The following is a 20765-nucleotide window of genomic DNA, read 5'->3' as shown; positions in this document are numbered from 1 at the left end:
ACGAACATTGTTGAAATAACGACAAAGGATTTAGAATATTCCATAAACCTAGTTGATAAAGCAGCAGCAGGGTTTGAGACAGTTTACTTCAATTTTGAAGGAAGTTCTACTGTGGATAAAATGCTATCAAACAGCATCACATGCTACAGGGAAATATTTTGTGAAAGGAACAAACTTCATTGTTTTAAGAAATTGACACAGGCACCCAACCTTCAGCAACCCCCACATTGATCAGTCAGCAGCCATCAACATAGAGGCAAGACCCTCACTGTAAGAGAAAAGAAAGAGAGATCAGACTGTTACTGTGTCTATATAGAAAGGAAAGACGTAAGAGACTCCATTTTGAAAAAGACTTTTACTTTAAACAATTGCTTTGCTGAGACGTTAATTTGTAGCTTCGCCCCAGCCACTTTGTCCCAGCCACTTTGACCCAACCTGGAGCTCACAAAAACATGTGTTTTATGAAATCAAGGTTTAAGGGATCTAGGGCTGTGCAGGATGTGCCTTGTTAACAAAATGTTTACAAGCAGTATACTTGGTAAAAGTCATCGCCATTCTCTAGTCTCAATAAACGAGGGGCACAATGCACTGCAGAAAGCCGCAGGGACCTCTGTTCTTGAAAGCGGGGTATTGTCCAAGGTTTCTCCCCATGTGATAGTCTGAAATATGGCATCATGGGATGAGAAAGACCTGACTGTCCCCCAGCCTGACACCCGTTAAGGGTCTGTGCTGAGGCGGATTAGTAAAAGATTAAAGCCTTTTGCAGTTGAGATAGAGGAAGGCCACTGTCTCCTGGCTGCCCCTGGGAACTGAATGTCTCAGTATAAAACCTGATTGTACATTTGTTCAATTCTAAGATAGGAGAAAAACCGCCCTATGGTGGGAGGCAAGACATGTTTGCAGTAATGCTGCTTTGTTATTCTTTACTCCACTGAGATGTTTGGGTGGAGAGAAACATAAATCTGGCTTACGTGCACGTCCACTCATAGTACCTTCCCTTGAACTTAATTGTGACATAGATTTTTTTGCTCACATGTTTTTTGCTGACCTTCTCCTTATTATCAGCCTGCTCTCCTACTACATTCCTTTTTGCTGAAATAATGAAAATAATAACCAATAAAAACTGAGGGAACTCAGAGGCCGGTGCCGGTGCAGGTCCTTGGTATGCTGAGCGCCAGTCACCTGGGCCTACTGTTGTTTCTCTATACTTTGTCTCTGTGTCTTACTTCTTTTCTCAGTCTCTCGTCCCACCTGACTAGAGATACCCACAAGTGTGGAGGGTAGGCCACCCCTTCACTCACCAGCAAAAAGATTATGACTTGGTAAGGCTCAGATATTCATTGGTATTTTTCAGCAATGAGGTATTTTAAGTTAAGGTATGTACATAGTTTTTTAGACATAATGCGATTACTAATTAAATAATTAATTAATAATTAATTATTAAATACTCATTAGACTACAACATAGTTTAAGCATAACTTTTATAAGCACTGGGAAACAAAATGTTTATGCGACTAACTTGATTGTAACATTTGCCTTATCGTGGTTGTCTAGAACCAAACCCACACTATCTCTGAGTATGCTTGTAGGTTTTTGGTTGTTCTTTGTTTTGAGATGGGGTTTCGCTCTGTCATCCAGGCCAGAGTGCAATGGTATGATCATAGCTCACTGCAGCCTCAAACTACTGGGTCAAGTGATTGTTCTACCACAGCCTCCTGAGTAGCTGGGACTACAGGCATGCAGCACTATGCCTGGCTTTTTTTTTTTTTTTTTTTTTTTTTGAGACGGAGTCTCGCTCTTTCGCCCAGGCCAGAGTGCAGTGGTGCTATCTCTGCTCACTGCAAGCTCTGCCTCCCGGGTTCATGCCATCCTCCTGCCTCAGCCTCCTGAGTAGCTGGGACTACAGGCGCCCAAGCCAGGCCTGGCTAATTTTTTGTATTTTTAGTAGAGACGGGGTTTCACCATGTTAGCCAGTATGGTCTCGATCTCCTGTCCTCGTGATCCACCCGCCTCGGCCTCCTAAAGTGCTGGGATGACAGGCGTGAACCACCTCGCCCGGCCTGCCTTTTCTTTCTAATGGCACAAGCCCCATGGAGTGTGGTGCGTCTGATCTCCGATGCTTTTGAACAGTGTAGAAAGTATTGCTGTCTGAATTTAATTTTTTACTACATGTATGGTCTCGATCGATCACAAGAAGATCAATAACCCCTTCTCCTTATTCTACTTCTCTTTTTAGCAATGGAGAACTTTGATTGGATTTTTCCTGTCTACAGACAGGAATGAGTCTGCTGTTTTCTTTTTTAAACCCGAGGGGACTGAGCCTGAGGGCCTCAAGCGCGGCCATCCTCCCCCAACCCTCAACTGGTGATTTTGGTGGTGGTGGTGGTGGTTTTGTGTTCCAGCTTCTGTTCTGTTCTTGTTGTTTCTGATGCTGCTGCTGCTGCTGGTGCTGTCGTCATTGTTTTGGTATTTTACAGACTCAGGTGGTGTATGTGCTTGTTTGTTAGAACGGCATACTACTGCCTCCAGTTGTAGAAGTGGACCTCCAGTGTATCCGATACCCATGTGGTGAATGTTGTCTCCGACGGGCGATTTATTCATCCTTCGTCCCCCTCTTACCCTCCTCCTCCCTTTTGGAGTGTCTGCTATTTCCATCTTGATGACCGTGTGCGTACCCACTGTTAACCTCCCACTTGTAAGCAGAAGGCAGTTCACTGGGTATATACTTGCTTCCAGCTCTATCCATGTTGTGGGAAAAGACGTGAAATCGCTCTTTTTTGTGCCTGCACCATTGAAGAATTTTAACTTTCTTGGTGGTTGTTTTCCTTTTCTCTTTTCTTTTCTTTTCTTTCCTTTTCTTTTCTTTTCTTTTCTTTCTTTTCTTTTCTTTCTTCCTCCTCCTCCTTCTTTTTTTCATTTTTTTCAGCTGGGCTCTCCTACTTGTGTTGCTCAGTTGCTCGGGCTGGTCTCAAACTCCTGGCCTTGACACTTCTCCCGTCACATCCACCGTCTAGTTGTTGAAATGAGCATCTCTTGTAAAATTGAAAAGATGAAAAAAATAAAGAGAAAGACAAAAAGCACGGGGTGAACCTTTCTCTTGCCACCTCCCAGGGTGTACCTTGGACCCCATAGGAGGGAGGGAGCTTGGCTGGGTGGGTTTTCGGTGCTAAATCCTCCCGAGGGCCTCCTTCCCTCTCCCCCTTGTCCCCTCTTCTCCCCCAGCCAAGTCTCCCACTGCGGCCATGGGATTTCCCATGGGAGAGGTATGGGAAAGGACTGACGCGGCTTCCAGGTCCATATCCTGCCAGACGTCTCTGGCTCAGCGTCCTCCACCAGCTGCCTGCCACCTTCCAGGGAGCTCTAAGACCGATGCCCCGCCCCCCTTCACGTCCCACCACCCTCCTCTATCTGGCCTTTGCCCGGCGACCCCAAGGGAACCGCATTGATGCTGCTTTTGAATCCTCCAGCGAAGCCTTCCACCAGATGCCCCGGATGAGCCGGATGGGATGGACTGGATCATCCCGGAACTAGCTGTTCTTGGGGGTGGGTTGACGTACTGGGTGGACCGGCAGCCCCAGCATTGTAAAGGGTGCCCAGGTATGGAAATGTCACATAGGATGCCGTCCTTCCCGTCAGCCTGCCTTCAGCTTCCTCAGGCATGAAGACAACTTCCCATCAGAACCTCTTTTCTTCCCTTTCTCCACCACACAGATGAGACGCATGAGAGGGAGAAACAGCTCAATAGATACTGCTGACCTTCATTTGTGGAATCCTCAGTCATCTACAGACAGAGAGGTGACTAGACAGGGATCCAAATCAAACACCATTTCGGGGTCCTCATGGTGGGATTGGTCTCTCTCTCTCTCTCCATCTCTGTCTGTCTCTCTCTTTCTCTCTGTCTCTGGCGCCACTGCACTACAGCCTGGCACTACAGCCTGGCACTACACACTGCACTACACTACAGCCACTGCACTACAGCCTGGGCGACAGAGTGAGACTTTGTCTCCAAATAAATAAATAAATAAATGAAAGAAAGAAAGAAAGAAAGAAAGAAAGAAAAGAAAAGAAAAGAAAAGAAAAGAAAAGGAAAGGAAAGGAAAGGAAAGGAAAGGAAAGGAAAGGAAAGGAAAGAAAAGAAAACCAGAAAAGAAAGAGAAAATGAAAGAAAAGGCACTGTATCGCTACTGGGCCAGGACCTTCCCTCTTTCTGTATGTTTCTCTCTGTCTCTCTCTGTCCATCTCTGTCTTTCTCTATCTGTCTCTTTCTCTGTCTGTCTGTCCTTTTCTTTCTCTCTGTCTCTGTCTCTCTCTCTCTGCCTGTCTCAGAGTGTCTGTCTTCTAACTCTCTTTCTCTGCCTGTCTCTCTCTCTCTCCCTCCCTGTTTCTCTCTGTCTCTCTTTCTGTCTGTTTCTCTCTGTCTCTCTCTGTCTGCCTGTTTCTCTCTGTCTCTCTCTGTCTCTGTTTTTCTCTATCTCTCTATTTCTTTTTCTGAGTCTCTCTGTCTCTCTCACTCTCTCTCTGTCTCTCTCTCTGTGCCTATCTTCTATCTTATTCTCTTTCTCTACCCGTCTGTCTCTCTGTCTGTCCCTCTCCCTCCCTTTCTGTCTCTCTCTCTCTCACTCTCTCTCTGTCTCTCTTTCTCTCTGTTTCTCTCTGTCTCTCCCTCCATCTGTCTGTCTCTCTCTTTCTGTCTCTGTCCGTCTCTCTCTGCCTGTCTCTCTCACTGTGTCTGTCTTCTGTCTTATTCTCTTCCTCTGCCTGTCTCTCTCTCCCTCCCTGCCTTTCTGTTTCTCTCTCTCTCTGTCTCTCTCTCTTTCTGTCTGTTTCTGTCTGTCTCTGTCTGTCTCTTCCTCTGTCTGTCTGTCTCTCTCTTTCTTTATTTTATTTTTTCCAGACGGAGTCTCACTGTGTCGCCCAGTCTGGAGTGCAGTGGCGCCATCTTGGCTCACTGCAAGCTCCACCTCCCAGGTTCACGCCATTCTCCTGCCTCAGCCTCCCGAGTAGCTGGGACTATAGGCGCCCGCCACCAAGCCCGGCTAATTTTTTGTGTTTTTAGTAGAGACGGGATTTCACCGTGTTAGCCAGGATGGTCTCGATCTCCTGACCTCGTGATCCGCCTGCCTTGTCCTCCCAAAGTGCTGGGATGACAGGAGTGAGCCACCGCACCCGGACTGTCTCTTTCTTTCTCTCTCTCTCTTTCTCTCTCTCTCTCTGTGCCTATCTTCTGTCTTACTCTCTTTCTCTGCCTGTCTGTCTCTCTCTCTGTCTGTCTCTCTCTCTCTCTGTCTGTCTCTCTCTCTCCCTGTCTGTTTCTCTCCCTCTGTCTCTCTCGCCCTCACTCTCTCTCTGTTTCTCTCTCTTGCTGTTTCTCTCTGTCTGTCTCTGTCTGTCTCTTTCTCTGTCTGTCTCTCTTTCTTTCTCTCTGTCTCTGTCTCTCTCCCCTTCTGCCTGTTTCTCTCACTTTGTCTGTCTTCTGTCTTACTCTCCTTCTCTGCCTGTCTGTCTCTCCCTCCCCCTCTCTTTCTGTTTCTCTCTCCCTCTCTCTCTCCATCTCGCTCTCTGTCTGTTTCTTTCTGTCTATCTCTGTCTTTCTCTGTCTCTCTGTCTGTCTCTCTCCCTCCCTGTCTGTCTCTCTCTCTTTCTCTATCTCTGTCTCTCTCTCTTTCTGTTTCTCTCTGTCCATCTCTGTCTTTCTCTGTCTCTCTTTCTTTCTCTGTCTCTGTCTCTCTCTTTCTCTGCCTGTCTCTCTCACTGTGTCTGTCTTCTGTCTTACTCTCTTTCTCTGCCTGTCTGTCCGTCTCTCTCTTTCCCTCTCTTTCTCTCTCTCTCTCCATCTCTCTCTTTCTGTTTCTCTCTGTCTCTCCCTGTCTGTCTCTGTGTGTCTGTCTGTTTCTCTCTCTTTCTCTGTCTCTCTCTCTCTTTCTGTTTGTTTCTCTCTGTCTCTCTCTCTCTCTCTGTCTGTCTCTCTCCCTCCCTCTCTGTCTGTTTCTCTCTGTCTCTCTCTGTCCATCTCTGTCTTTCTATGTCTGTCTCTTTCTCTGTTAGTCTGTCAGAGCCCCTGTGCCGGGGAGGGCCCTGACCCTTCCACGAAAGTGAGAAGCGCCTGCTTAGAGAGGCCGAGAGGAATCTAGACAGACGGTCCTTGCTAGGCTTCGCCACTCGGTGTATGATTTCGGGAGGTCGAGGCCGGGTCCCCACTTGGATGGAAGGGGCATTTTCAAACTTTCTCTCTGTTACGTGTGGCGTCCCTACTTCTCGTATTTCCCTGATAGGCTCCTCGACTTAAAAATACATGGTTAAGGCCGGGCGCAGTGGCTCACGTCTGTCATCCCAGCAGTTTGGGAGGCCGAGGCGGGTGGATCACCTGAGGTTGGGAGTTTGAGACCAGCCTTGCCAACACGGCGAAACCCCATCTCTACTAAAAATACTAAAATGAGTCGGGCGCGGTGGGGCAGGCGCCTGTAATGCCAGCTACTCGGGAGGCTGAGGCAGGAGAATCTCTTGAACCTGGGAGGCGGAGCATGCAGGGAGCCGAGATCGCGCCACTGCACAGCCCGGGCTGAAGATTGAGTGAGACCCTGTCTCTAAATAAATAAATAAATAAATGCGTTCTTTTCCGTGCTGACTGACACTTGCAGGCATCGGTTGTCTTTGGGCATCACCTAGCGGCCACTGTTATTGAAAGTCGAAGTGACACGGAGGGAGGTCTGGCCCACTTCACCGAGCCTGGGGCAACCGGTTTCTCTCTCTCCCTTCTGGAGACCCCTCCCTCTCTCCCTCGTTGCCTAGGGAACCTCCGCCCTGGCTGGGGCCCTATTGTTCTTTGATCAGCGCTTTAGTTTTCTTTGTGTTTTGGTTTCTTTCATGCGCATAGACTCTTCTCCTTGGGTTTTAGGAGGGGCCAGTTTAATTTTCAAGTCCCCCCAGGCTCCCCCTACTACCCACGTCCATTTACCTTCGTTTAGTGAGTCAGTTAGGTGGGTTCCCCCAAAACCCCCCAACCCCGCCTCCCAACACCCTGCTTGGAAACCTTCCGGAGCCACCCCGGTGTGCCTCCGTCTTCTCTCCCCTTCCCCCACCCCTTGCCGGCGATCTCATTCTTGCCAGGCTGACATTTGCATCAGTGGGCGTCAGGACTCACTCAGTGGCCACCGTTTTTGAAGATGGAGGTGGCACGGTCCCACTTCCCCAGAGGTAGCTTCCTCGATGGCATAGCCCTTGACCTGCGTGGGCAAGCGGGCGGGTCTGCAGTTGTGGGGTTTTTCCCCCGCTTCCCTCCTAAGGCCTCCCTCCCTAGGAAAGCTTCACCGCGGCTGGGTCTCAATCACCTTTTATCATGATGTTTTAGTTTCTCCGCCCTCTGGCCAGCATAGTTTCACAATGGGAATGACGTCACAGCTCTAGTCTGGGCCTTCTTAGTATTTGCCCAAAATAGAAATGCTTTCTGAAAACTAATACTTTGCTCACTTAAGATTTCCAGGGACAGTGCCTTGGCCCATGTTTGTTGGCTTGTTTTGTTTTGTTCGTGTTTTTCCTTTTTCTTATGTATTTCTTTTTAGATGAAGTAGAAATCCCCAGTTTTCAGGAAGACGTATATTTTCCCCAAGACATGTTAGCTGCGGTTTTCTCCTGTTGTTAACTAACGATTTTGTGAATCTCTGAACGTATAGTGAGAGCCGGTTGAGGTTTACTAGACTTCAGAACATCTTATGTTCTAGAAATCCGTAAGCAAATGCTGCTGCTGCTGCTCTTGTTGCTGTTGTTGTTGTTTTCAAAGCACACCCTGGCCACCATTTATGGGATCAAAAGCGTTATAAAATATGTGTAATTATTTCCTGAGCATGCCCTTCCTACTCCTCTCTCTGTCTCTTTCTCCTTCTACTCTCTCTCTCTGTCTCTCTCTCTCTGCCTATTTTTCTCTCTCTCTCTACCTGTCTCTCTCACTGTGTCTGTCTTCTGTCTTATTCCCTTTCTCTGCCTGTCTGTCTCTCTTCCTCTCTGCCTGTCCGTCTGTCTCTCTCTCTCTCTCTCCCTGTCTGTTTCTCTCTGTCTCTGTATCTGTCTCTCTCTCTTTCTCTTTCTCTCTGTCCATCTATGTCTTTCTCTGTCTCTCTGTCTGTCTCTCTCTTTCTTTCTCTTTGTCTCTCTGTCTCTGTGTGTCTCTCTCTCTGCTTGTCTCTCTCACTGTGTCTGTCTTCTGTCTTACTCTTTCTCTGCCGGTCTGTCTCTCTCTCTCTTTCTCTCTGTCTCTCTCTCTTTGTTTCTCTCTGTCTCTCTCTGTCCATCTCTGTCTTTCTCTGTCTGTCTCTTTGTCTGTCTGTCTGTCTGTATCTCTCTTTCTCTGTCTCGCTGTCTCTGTCTCTCTCTCTGCCTGTCTGTCTGTCGGTAGGTCTCTCTCTCTCTCCCTGTCTGTTTTTTTTCTCTCTCTCTCTTTGCCTGTCTGTTTCTCTGTCTCTGTCTCTCAGTCTGTCTCTCTCTGCCTGTCTCTCTCTGTGTCTGTCTTCTGTCTTACTGTCTTTCTCTGCCTGTCTGTCTCTCTCTCTCCTTGTCTGTTTCTCTCTCTCTCTCTGTCTCTGTTTCTCTCTGTCTCCCTCCGTCTGTCTCTGTCTTTCTCTCTCTTTTTCTCTCTGTCTGTCTCTCTCTTTCTTTCTCTCTGTCTGTCCATCTGTCTCTGTCTCTGTGTGTGTGTGTGTCTGCCTTCTGTCTTACTCTCTTTCTCTGCCTGTCTGTCTGCCTGTCCGTCTGTCTCTGTCCATCTCTTTCTTTCTCTGTCTGTCTCTCCCTCTTTCTGTCTTTCTCTCTTTGTGTATCTTTGTGTCTCTCTGTCTGTCTCTCTCTGTCTCTGTCTTTGTCTCTCTCTCTCTCTCTCTCTCTCTCTCGCCCACTCTCTGGCTCTCGCTATCTCCTGCCCTCTCTTCCTTTGCAAAATAAGTTCAAGTACATCTAATCTAATCCATTACCACGGCCTGAATTCTTAACTTTAGATATCCCAGGTTTGATCTCCCTACAGAATGCTGTACAGAACTGGCGAGTTGCTTTCTGGACTTGGATACCTCATAGATACTACATATTAATAAAGATCCAACCCTAAAATCTGGGGTTGTGTCTCCCTCGACTGTATCAAAAAATCATACTTCTGTTCACCTAGGATGCTGGGAGGGTTTTCTCAATGTGCATCTGCTCGTGTTCTACATGAACTGTGACCGAGCCCTGTCCGTTCTGTCTCAAATATGTATCTGTAAACACGTCTCTCCATTTCCACAACTACCCATGGCCCCTTGTGGAATCACTGGTTCTTTGAAAAAAAATCCCAGAAGTGGCTTTGACTTTTTGGCTAGGAGGCCTAAACGTGCTGAGAACTTTCCTGCCCAGGATTCTGTGTGAACAAAAGTGCCTCTGCTGGGAGCTGGAATCCTCGGGACCATGCTTGCTAGCACTAGATGAGTCTCCGGAAGGACGCACGGGACTCCGCTGACCTGTCCCACCGAGGTCAAATGGATACCTCTGCATTGGCCCGAGGCTTCCAACTTACATCACCGTCACCAGCCGTCAGCATCCTTGTGAGCCTGCCCAAGGCCCTGACTCCGGGGAGACTCTTGAGAACCCGGCCTTCATCGGCTAAAGTAGAAAGGGATGGAGACTTCCACACACAAGGTCCCCACTGAACTGCGAAGATGTGGAGCGTAGGTCAGAGAGGGGACCAGGAGGGGAGACGTCCAGACAGGCGATGAGTTAACTAGGCTCTGGCCACCCCACTCACGTCCTACGTCACGGGAACCCGCGGAACACCGCCGCTTTATCCCCTCCTCTGTCCACAGCCGCCCCCACCCCACCCCGCAACCCACGCACACACACTGGAGGTTAAAAAACCACACGGCGTGAATAGAGCCTGACAGAGCGAGAGCTCATTTCTCGAGGCGGAGGGGTGGGGTGGGGTGGGGGTTGGGGGGTCTGTAGAGAGCCCGATTCTCCCTCCTGGGTGGCTACTGTATACAAATGAATATCGCTTCTTGGGCGGAGGGGCTTCCTTAGGCCGTCACGTTTGCGGGACTATCTCTCAAACCCTTCCTTGAGGCCACAAAATAGATTCCACCCCACCCCTCGACGTTTCCCTGGGCGCTGGATGTATCCTGTCAAGAGACCTGAGCCTGACAGTTTGAGTGAAACACCTTTATTGGTTTTGTGTGTTTGTTTGTTTCTGAGATGGAGTCTTGCTCTGTCCCCCACGGCTGGAGTACAGTGGCGTGATCTCAACTCACTGCAACCTCTGCCTCCTGGGTTCGAGGGATTCTCCTGCCTCAGCGCCACCACGCTCGGATCATTTTTTAATTTTTAGTACACACGGGGTTTGACCCTGTTTCATTGGTTTTCACTGGAGATTCTAGATTCGAGTCACACCTCGTTGTGTGCCACATAATGACTTCTTTTTTAAATTTCTTTTTTTTTTTAAAGCACGATATATCTGCTTTATTTGAGTGGCTTTATATATCGTTATAATTGTGTTATAGATGAAGAAAAGGTATTAAACACGGTGCTAATGATAGTGAAAGTGAAAATAAAAGAAAGGCTATCTATTTTGTAGTTAGAATAAAGTTGCTCAGTATTTAGAGTTACCTAAATATGTCAGCATTTAAACTCCTCCTAGTAAAAGCTGGCCAATCTGAATAATCCTCCTTTAAACACAATTTTTGATATGGTTAAGGTTCTTAAGAATGTGACTCCTGCGGAATAGCTGAACAGACAATACACTTTTAAAAAAGAACAACACAAGGATCAATCAGACTTGGGAAAAAAGCAAAAACAACACAAGTCTTATGAAGAACTGAGTTCTTAAAGTATTATGGAAAACATAGCTATCAGAAGAGAAGGCAGTATTGGTAAGGTGATTGTTACATTTGTCAGCAAAAGCTAGCACTATTTTTTTGGCAATCTTTCAGACACTGCAACTACTACTGCAAAATGAGATATAATCCATTAAACAACATATTCACAAATCAAAAAATGTTTTAGCAATATAATGCTTCAGATTTAGAAGCAAATCAAATGTTAAAACTCAACTCCTATAATAATTAACCCCAAAGATAACCGTATCTGACAAAAAAGCTTCCACAGAGTTATGACTTCAGAATTATACTTTCTCTTGATATTTATTTATTTATTTATTTATTTATTTAATTTTTTTCTTGAGACAGCGTTTCACTCTGTCACCCAGGCTGGAGTGCAATGGCATAATCTTGGCTCACTGCAACCTCCACTTCCCAGGTTCAAGCGATTCTCCTGCCTCAGCCTCCTGAGTAGCTGGGACTACAGGTGCCCGCCACCATGGCCAGCTAATTTTTATACTTTTAATAGAGACGAGGTTTCACCATGCTGGACAGGATGGTCTCAATCTCTTGACCTTGTGATCTGCCCGCCTCGGCCTCCCAAAGTGCTGGGATGAGAGGCATGAACCACCATGCCTGGCCTTCTCTTCATATTTAAACTTTTAAGTCAGTCCAGAAAAATACAATAAATGTCAACAGTAAGTATGGTGTTGAGGCAGATGTAGGACCAAACTTTTTCGTATGTTATTCAGTTGATAACAATATGACCTGGATAGTAATTTCCTATGTGTCTACTTATACACAAGTAAAAAAAGGAAAACAGAGATACTGCTAAATAAAAGGGTATACTAAGTTCTTAATAGTAACTCAATAAACTGGAACACTGTCAAAAAGCAGCAACTAGTGAATTTTTTCAGTGTTTTTTTCCTATTATCCAATAAGTGAATTATGCTATTCCTTTCCAATTTCCCAAGCACTTTTTGTCCCAATCACCATTTCTGTGTTCGAAGAAAAAGTAATAAATCAAGTAACAAAACTAAACAAGCAAACAAACAAACAAAACACAACTACAGTGTCTGCAAAAGTGTGGTAGAAGACTGAAACTGTTGAGTATAAGGATCTGGTATTCTATTATCATTAGTTAACTGAAGAGTTTGTTAAAGACATACATTTCATAAAAAAACATGTTAGTTTGAAGTTATTTACTAGTATGTACCATGCCTAAGTATTAGTAACCAAATTCATGACAATAAAGAGCTATCTAACAAGAAAAATTAGTGACTACAAGCACCATCAACAAGACTTTGTCTTTACACTTCATTACCACTTACCGTGCATTACAATGTCTAGGATTGACTCTGATAGCATTTCAAAAACAAGCTAATACTTTGTCCAATTCTTCAGTTAAGACAAACTCTCGCCCTAATAGAGTATAGACATAAGCATAATTTGGATCCACTTGGATAGCTCTCTGGAAGAATTTAATTGCAATATCGTGTTCCCGTTGCAAACTGAAACAGTTCCCTGAAGCACATCAGGCCTCTGGTGAATTTTTATCCACATCTGTTAAGTCTTTTGACATAACTGAAAGAACAACATCTTTTTGAAGATGCCAAAATGTTGTAGACTAGATTTCCATGCCTTCGACTCTATAATTCTCAGTCCTTCTAACCTCTGAGAATATTCTTTCAGCTTGTATGTACTCTGAAAGTTCAAAATAGACCCTTCCAATTTGGCACAGTACCCAACCAGTATTGTAGTGGTGAGAAGGTAGATGGCTCAAAATATTTATAGCTTCTTTGCAGTGGTATGAACACAAAGCTAAATAACCTTTCACCCTTTCATGAAAAAGGCTCATCAAGCCTTCTGCTGCTGTTTTTTATGATTAAAAGCCTGAATCTGAGGTGTGATTGTGGATATTTTCCCTTCTGAAATAATGGAAGAGTCCAATTTTGTAATTTCCAGGCCATCATTTATGTTAGGTTGAGTTATTCCTCCTTTATTAGTTTTACTTTTTGTTTTTCTGTTTGAGATTTTAGGTGGAAACTTCATTTTTAATTTCTTCCTATTCTCCTTGGTTGGGAAACTGTCACTAGTAAAGAGTCTTGAATTTCTTCGAGGCAGTGCATTTGGGGGAGATGTCATAGTGGGGCTCAATACCTGAGGTGTTGTACTTATTTATGGACCAGAACTTTCTGTTTGTGCAAGAATTGGAGTTACCTCTCGTCTATTTCCACTCTGTGAGAAGACAGACTTTGCTCCAGTTTGGCCAATTCTGGCAACAGACTTTTTTGAAGGGGCTCCGGTGGATGGCACCTCAATTTCAGAAGGTATATTAGTGTAGTTTTGTAAATAGGATCCATCTCCAGGACTTGGGGTTTCTAATGGCAAAATCCCAAAACTTGGGGTTAATGGACTAAGATCTCCTGGTCCTCCTAATAAACTTCGACCAGTTTTTGGTTTATTTTGAACCTGTTTAGATAATATGGAAGTTCCTGTTCCCAGTGGGACAGTATCAGGTGAAATTACGCTGAATCAATAGAAGACACTGGGGAATCTGTATTCAAGGAGTACTTTGAATTGGAAGATTCTAAATTCAATCTGTTTAATTCAGTTGTGTCCTGGGGTGTTTCCGTAAGAATGGTCTCAGGCTGTCTGTGACATAAACTATGATTAGGTACTTGTGTTGTGCAAGAGTTGGGCAGACAGTTGCTAAAGTTCTGTAAAGATGTGAATTTAAACGTTTGGTCAGGATCTGGCTTTTCACCTATTTCACATAATGATTCAAAGGGATACCAGAGGAAAGGCTTTAAACTAAGCCTCTTTCGGTCACATTCTGATCCTTTGGCAAGCCAATCTGTCTTGCAATATACATGTCCCAACAATGGAAGGGGAAAGCAAGCTGAATCACCAAACTCAGTAACAATATCATCATGACTTTTCTGCTTATTAAACACTCCACCAGATAAGATTGTTCCCCTTCTGCAAGCTTGCTGAGATCAACACAACATTTTGCAAGCAGGTATTTTCATTGCGGTGTAGGACAACTGTGTCCTTTCAAGAGTCTATATGCTTTATAGGCCTTTCCTGGGCGGTAAGAACAGGTCGCCAGTAAAAACATGGCTTCTTCTGAGTGTACTTCTGCATGAAGGTGTTCTGCGAGGAAAACCTCATCTCGGTAAGCATAGTGGTTTAGTGCTTGCCATATAGCAGCCTGGACGGGTTCCTGCAGCACCATCATCCTCGAGGCTCAGACCCACTTTCTGCAGTGCCTCAGGCAACCCCCCCACCCTGCCAACCCCCCTCCCCGCCGTAGGAGCTCTGGCCCAGCCAGCCTGGCCTCATTTAAACTCACCAGTTACCAGGGGATGGGGGAGGCCGAGCCAGAATGACTTCTTTACCCTGCAGACTCTGGAAAGCCCGGCCTCTTGTGATCCATTGCAAAGTGAGAGTCACCTCATGTTTGGAAAACGGATTTGCTCCCAAGTTCAGTGGAGGGATGTGGCATGTAGGATGAAGGACTCTCTTCCTTCTGATTCGGTCTGCACAGTGGGGCCAAGGGCTGGAGCTCTCTCCTTGCGGACCGCCGACTCCCTCTACCTTGGGTTCCATCGACCCCACCCTGGGACATGGGCCTTGGCAGATTCTGGCCCTTCCTGGCCCTTAAGTCGCTGTCAGAAACCCCATCTCGTGCTCGGATGCCCCGAATGACTGCGGCTCGCGCCTCTCTGGAAACATTGGAAATCTCTCCTCTACGCGTGGTCACCTGAAACCACAGGAGCTCGGGACACACGGCCGCCATCCACCTCACTGCTTTCAGGAGAGAATGCTGAGAGTCTTTTACCGACTCTCTCTTGACTTGAGTTCTTCATGGGTGTGTGGTTAAGACGTAGTGAGACCAGATGTATTAACTCAGGCCGGGTGATGGTGGCTCACGCCTGTAACCCCAACACTTTGGGAGGCCGAGGCCGTAGGATCCCTTGAGGAATTGCCTAACCCTGGGGAGGTTGAGGCTGCAGTGAGTGAGCCATAATGGTGTCACTGCACTCCAGTCTGGGCGAAAGACAGAGTGAGGCCCTGTCACAGGCAGACAGGCAGGCAGGCAGGCAGGCAGGCAGACAGACAACAGTTGTATTATGTTCTTCTCAGGGTAGGAAGTAAAAATAACAGAATACAGGGCTTAATTTTTTTTTTTTTTTTTTTGGACGGAGTTTCACTCTTGTTGCCCACACTGGAGTGCAATGGCACCATCTTGGCTCACCGCAACCTCCACCTCCCGTATTCAAGCGATTCTCCTGCCTCAGCCTCCTGAGTAGCTGGGATTACAGGCATGTGTCACCACACCTGGCTGATTTTGTATTGTTAGTAGAGACGGCATTTCTCTATGTGGGTCAGGTGGATCTCGAACTGGCCACCTCAGGTGATCTGCCCACCTTGGCCTCCCAAAGTGCTGGGATGACAGGCGTGAGCAATTGCGCCCGGCCAGCTACGTTTTTTTATAATTTTCTATTTTAATATATTTATTATTATCATTATTATTTTTTGAGACGGAGTCTCGCTCTGTTGCCCAGACTGGAGTGCAGTGGCGTGATGTCGGCTCACTGCAAGCTCTGCCTCCCGGGTTCACGCCATTCTCTTGTCGCAGCCTCCCAAGTAGCTGGGACTATAGGCACCCACCAACGCGCCTGGCTAATTTTCTGTATTTTGAGTAGAGACGGGGTTTCATTGTGGTAGCCAGGATGGTCTCGATCTCCTGACCCCCGTGATCTGCCCGCCTCGGCCTCCCAAAGTGCTGGGATGAGAGGCGTGAGCCACCGCGCCTGGTCTATTTATCTATTTATTAACTTTGAGTCCAGGTTATGAAACCAGTTAGTTTCTGTATTTTTTTTTAGAGATGAGGTTTCACCATGTTGCCAAGGCTTGGATCGAGGGATCCACCTTCCCTCACCTCCCAAAGTGCAGGGATGACAGGCGTGAGCCTACCACGCCCGGCTCCCCCCTTTCCCCCGCCAGCTTGTCACTCAGGTGCCAGAGGCCGAGCGGTGGTGTGTGGTTCCCACCCCCAGCTCCCCCTCCTCCGTTCACCACTTCGATGTCTGCGAGTGGGTCCTGAGGGAGCTCGTTGGTGTGGGGGTCGAGGCGGTTGAGCGAGACGCGCCCCTCTCACGCGGGGAAGGGCGCCGCCTGGTCTGGCAAGCGCAGGTCCCGTGCTCCCCTCTGGCGGGTGCGCGCGAGCCGTGTGAGCGACCGCGGTGGGCTCGGGCAGTGACGCGTGCGCCGGCCTGCCGCCGAGGGGCTACCGTTCTGCCTCCGACAGGTTTTGTGTGGGTTTACTTGGAGGTGCTTTGCCTGGGAGAAAGCAGGCGGGTGGACGGAGGGGCACTTGGGGGATTGAACCCACGCACAGCGGCCAGGCCCTCCGCCCAGACCGCAAAGGCTCAAAGTTGCCGCAAGCAGATTTTTCCTGGTACCGCGGGCCCCCTCCCTTCCCCAGGTGTCCCTGAGCGCGTCTGCAGGCCTGACAAGGGGCGATTGGCGGGTGGGGAGTGTGAATCACCCTCGGTGCGAAAGCCTTCTCTAGCGATCCGAAAGGTGTGCCTTTGGGGGTACCGGATCCCCCCGCCTGCCGCCTCTCTCTGCGTTATGGTAGCGCTGCCATAGTGACTCGCTTGCAGAGGACCCTCCTCCGCTTCCCCCTGGACGGGGTGAGGTGGGGAGAGCGAGGGTTCCCCTGGCCTCAGCGGTGGGGACGGAGGGCCGTTCGTCACCTACAGTGTGGCCCGCGCCTCCCCCTTCCGAGTCGGGGGAGGATCCCGCCGGGCCGAGCCGGCGTCCTAGCGGTTGGGAGGCTGCGCGAGCGGTGGTTGTGCCCGGCGTTCCGTCCGGCGCGTGACCCGCTCCTCTGCGAGCCGGCTCTCCGCCCGCTCCCCTGAGGAGCAGCGACCGGTGCCGACCACCGCGTTTGCGTAGCAAGGCGTTGGGCCTCCTGGCCATGGGAAGTGTCCCATGTGGGGGGCGCGCCGGTCTCCCGGAGCTTGACCGGGTTGGAGGATAGAAGAGAAACGAGCAACGTGGCCCTGGAGTTGGGTTTGTGGCTGAGGTCGCTTCTGGGTCCCGATGGCGGGACCCGGGCTCGTGAGGCGGGTCTCGGTGGGTGCCGAGGGCCGTCCGGAGTCCTAGGCGGGGCGCCAGGGGACCTCCCTAGTGTCTGTGGCGGTGGGATCCCGTGGCCGTGTTTTCCTGGTGGCCTGGCCGTGCCTCAGGTTTCTCCCCGAGCCGCCCCTCTGCCGGCTCCTGGGTGCCCTTGCCCTCGCGGTCCCTGGCCTTGCCTGTCTGTGCCCCCCTCCGCGCCCTCGGATCCTCTCTCCCCAAGCGGCTCACCGGCTTAGGCTGTGGTGGCCCTGTCTGGGACCAAACCTGGCTCCGCCTTGTGTGGCACCACCGCCAGCCACTGGTTGGTCCGTTGTCCATGTCCCCGGGAGCGCGCCTTCAGGACCAGGTTGGCGGCGCCCCGTATGGGCCTGGTGGGCGCCGGGAGGGTTTGGGGTCGGCCTGCAGCGCACGCAGGGAAGAGGGTTCCGGGCGCTGGCCGCGATGGCGGCGGCGGTGTTGGAGCCGCGGGCCCGCCAAAGGCCAGTCGGCCGCTCCAGGTGCCGCGCGGGGCCGCCTTGGTGCTGGAAGGCCGCTGGCGGTGAGACCCCGGGCACTGCGGTCCGCCTCTCGTTCGCTGCCCAAACGTCGGGGCCGCCCCGCGTCCTTCCTCCTTGGCAGACTGTGTTCCCGGTGCAGCGCGTGCGTGGGCAGGGTTGTGCCCTTTGTTTGTTACAGGGCCTCGTCTGCCCTGAGAGCCGGAGAACTCGGGAAGGAGAGAGGGGGGAGAGAGAGACACGCGTGCGGGGACGAAACCGTGTGTGCCTGTCGTGGAGCGGGCTGGATGGCTTGCTGGCCTGGTGAGCAGTGGGGAGCGGCCCCCTGCCATGGCCCCCACGTGTGTGTCGGCGGGCTCGGGGATGGTTCTCGGCGTCCCGGTGGGGTGGGGGTCTCGGTGCCCTCCCCGCTGGAGCCTTCGTCCCGCCCTGTCCCGCCGTCTCGGCCCCATCCCGCCGGCTCCCGTTGGGGCCGGCCGAGTTCCCATCGCTGCTGCTGCCACCATCCTCGCCTCTGCCACACCGCGCCACCGGGCCCGGCCTGGCCCGCTCGCTCTCCCCAGCCTTCCCGCTAGGGCGTCTCGAGGGTAGGGGGCCGGATGCCTGTCCCCCTCCTCATCCGCCCCCGCCCTCCAGGTACCTAGCGCGTTCTGGCGCGGAGGTTTAAGGACCCCTTGGGGGGTCGCCCGTCTGCCCGTGGGTCGGGTGCGGTGGGCCGGGGGGGGAGTCCGTTCGGGAGGGGCCCGCCCCTCTCTCACCTCCCCCGCCGACTCCATCCTCTCCGCCGGCCGGGGCCGCGCCGCACTTGCGTGTCGCAGCTGACGCCGGTGGGGGCTTTACCGGCGGCCGTCGTGCCATCGCGCGCGTGCCGTGTGTGTGGCCTTTGCCCTGGGCTGTGGGGTCGGGAATCCCTGGGCGCCCATGGGGTGCTGTCAGCGTTCGCCACCCCGTGGTCGGCACTTCCTCCCTGTGTTGTGAAACCTTCCGACCCCTCTCTGGAGTCTGGTCCCCTTGCTGTCTGAATGGCCGGCCTGAGGTAAACCCTCTGGGGGACCTGTTGTGCCAGTAGGGCCTCCCGGTGTTGGGAGCGCCCTCGCCAAATCCACCTTGTATGACTTTTAGCCATGGATTATTGGGCTTCTGCGTTGATGAAGAACGCAGGTAGCTGTGATAACTAATGTGAATTGCAGGACACATTGATCATCCATACTTCGAATGCACTTGTGGCCCGGGTTCCTCCCAGGGCTATGTCTGTCTGAGCGTCGCTTGCCGATCAATAGTCCCCGGGGGTGCCTCCGGGCTCCTCGGGGTGCAAGGCTGGGGATTCCCTGGCATGGCCTGCTGGGGCCCTCCGTCCCCTCAAGTGCAGACTGGCCACGTCCGCCCTCCTCTGCCGCCATGCCCGCCCCTTCTCCCTCCCCCCGCAGGTCCTGTGTGGTCACGCATTGGGTGGCATGGGGAAGGGGGGCTCCTAGCTGTGAGGAAGCGAGAGAGGGTGGCGCTGCCACCCGCGAAAACAGAGGGAAGAGAGCCGGCTGGGGCCGAGTTCCCGTGGCCACCACCGCGGTCCTGGTTCCTCCCTCCGGGGCTCCCTCGCGCCTCACGCAGCTCGTGGTGCAGGGTTCGTTGGCCCTGGCGGGGTGGAAGGTCTCGTGCCGTCGTCGTCGCGCGTCGTGGGTAGTGTGGGTTTGTTGGGGGTGCAGGCAGGCAAGTAGGAAGGGTCTGCCGGGGAGATGGTGGGGGAGCGCGTCCCGATCGCCGTGGTTCGCCTCCGCCCCTGGTGGCTGCCCGGCAACCGGCACACCGCTGCTCCAGCGCCCCTCCTCCCCAACACCCCTCCAAGCCACAGTCCTCCTCTCCCGCCCGCCCCCCGCCTGCCGGGCGCGCATCGCGGTTGTGTCCGGGGACGGAAGCCCGCCACGCGGCCCGTCTGGCAGGGCTTGTGGCCGAGGTCCTGGGGTTCGCGTGCCCCTGGCGGTGACTCGCTGGATGCTGCGGTGTTGTCCGCCATCGTGCGCCCGCCTCCGTCTCTCGGCCGCGCAGTGCCTGGGGCCCGGTCTGTAGCTTCCACGTCAGGCCAGGGCGGCACCGCTGCGTCCTCGGACCAGTCCCCCACCTCCATTTAGTACGTAGGAAATCCCATGTAACTTAGCAAAGCTAGGAAGTCCCTAAACTCCGCGCAGCCACTGTAGGGGTGGCCTCCCAGTAGCATCGTTAACACCAATTGTAATTGGTAGGCAATCACTTAGTTTCACATTTCATTACCCCATTTATACAAATGTGTAAAAAAAAATACAGCTTTAATAAAAGGGAGTAAAGGATAATATGAGTAATATTCACAATCTCTAGTTGGAAGAGGTAGTGTTTTCTCAGAAATGATGCATTCCTGGAGCAAGGTCATTTTGTGTTTGGTTTGTTAAATATATATTTCCATTTTGAAAAACCACTGGAAAAGCCCAGCTTCACAAGGACGCTCCATGAGAACGATCACACAAAAGAACACCCATAACACAAAATCAAAACAAGGGTGGTCCAGGCGTCACATTAAAGACTCATTACCAAGTTTTCTTAGAAGAGATAAAGAACACAAAGTTACTTTTATGTGATGGAAAACAGAGAGAAAGAGTAAATACAACAATAAATGTTAGGCAACAACAGTGAAAACCAAGCTGTGGAAAAAAATGAATGGAAATGTTTTGTTTGGTATTGATTTCCTATCCTGATATCAGAAAGTATGGGAAAGAACAAAGCACATTTTTTTGAGACAAATAGAACATAAAACAAATGAATGTTAAAGACTATTTTACAGTGCTAACAAAACTATCTGTGACTTGTTTTTTCCATTTAAAAATATGATTTTGTACAATTACATTTATATAAATTATTGAAATAAAATTGTAAAGATGGAGAACATGCTATGGGGTTGCCAAGGGGAAGGGATGGAGGAAAACGTGTCAGAGTTTCAGCAAAGATCGCAAGTTGGAGCCTGGTGATGAGGCTACAGTTCTGTATCTTGACTGTGGAAGTGGTAGTTACAGAGATCTACACCACATAAAAATGCACAGAACACACGCACACGCATACACACATACAAAAATGAATGCATACAAAATGGTTGCGATCCGAGTAAGCTTTCTGAATTGTACCTATGTCAGTTTCCAGGTATTGATAATGCTCTATTGCTATGTGAGAAGTCACCACTGGAATTAGTGAAGAGTACCTAAGACATCATTGTACCTTTTGCAACTTCCTGTGAATCTATAATTATTTCGAAAGAAACTTCAAAGTCATAGCA

General features: G+C 50.1%; 3 pseudogenes, besides 1 other annotated feature; 1 reads left to right on the top strand and 2 right to left on the bottom strand.

Moving 5' to 3' along the window:
- Window positions 1-20765: part of a centromere (Linear centromere model derived predominantly from reads generated in PMID: 17803354. This region does not represent an actual centromere sequence, as long-range ordering of repeats and unmapped WGS contigs is not provided by the model. For details of model production, see http://arxiv.org/abs/1307.0035.) that runs on past both edges of the window.
- On the bottom strand, window positions 12939-14064 carry CDC27P3 (cell division cycle 27 pseudogene 3; annotated as a pseudogene).
- On the bottom strand, window positions 14221-17976 carry LOC107987278 (translation initiation factor IF-2-like; annotated as a pseudogene).
- LOC110467522 (RNA, 5.8S ribosomal pseudogene) lies at window positions 18584-18735 on the top strand (annotated as a pseudogene).

Source organism: Homo sapiens, chromosome 20 (assembly GCF_000001405.40).
Source record: "Homo sapiens chromosome 20, GRCh38.p14 Primary Assembly".
Lineage (NCBI taxonomy): Eukaryota > Metazoa > Chordata > Mammalia > Primates > Hominidae > Homo > Homo sapiens.
The sequence above is the reverse complement of the archived record's forward strand: the minus strand, read 5'-3'. Positions and strand labels throughout refer to the sequence as shown.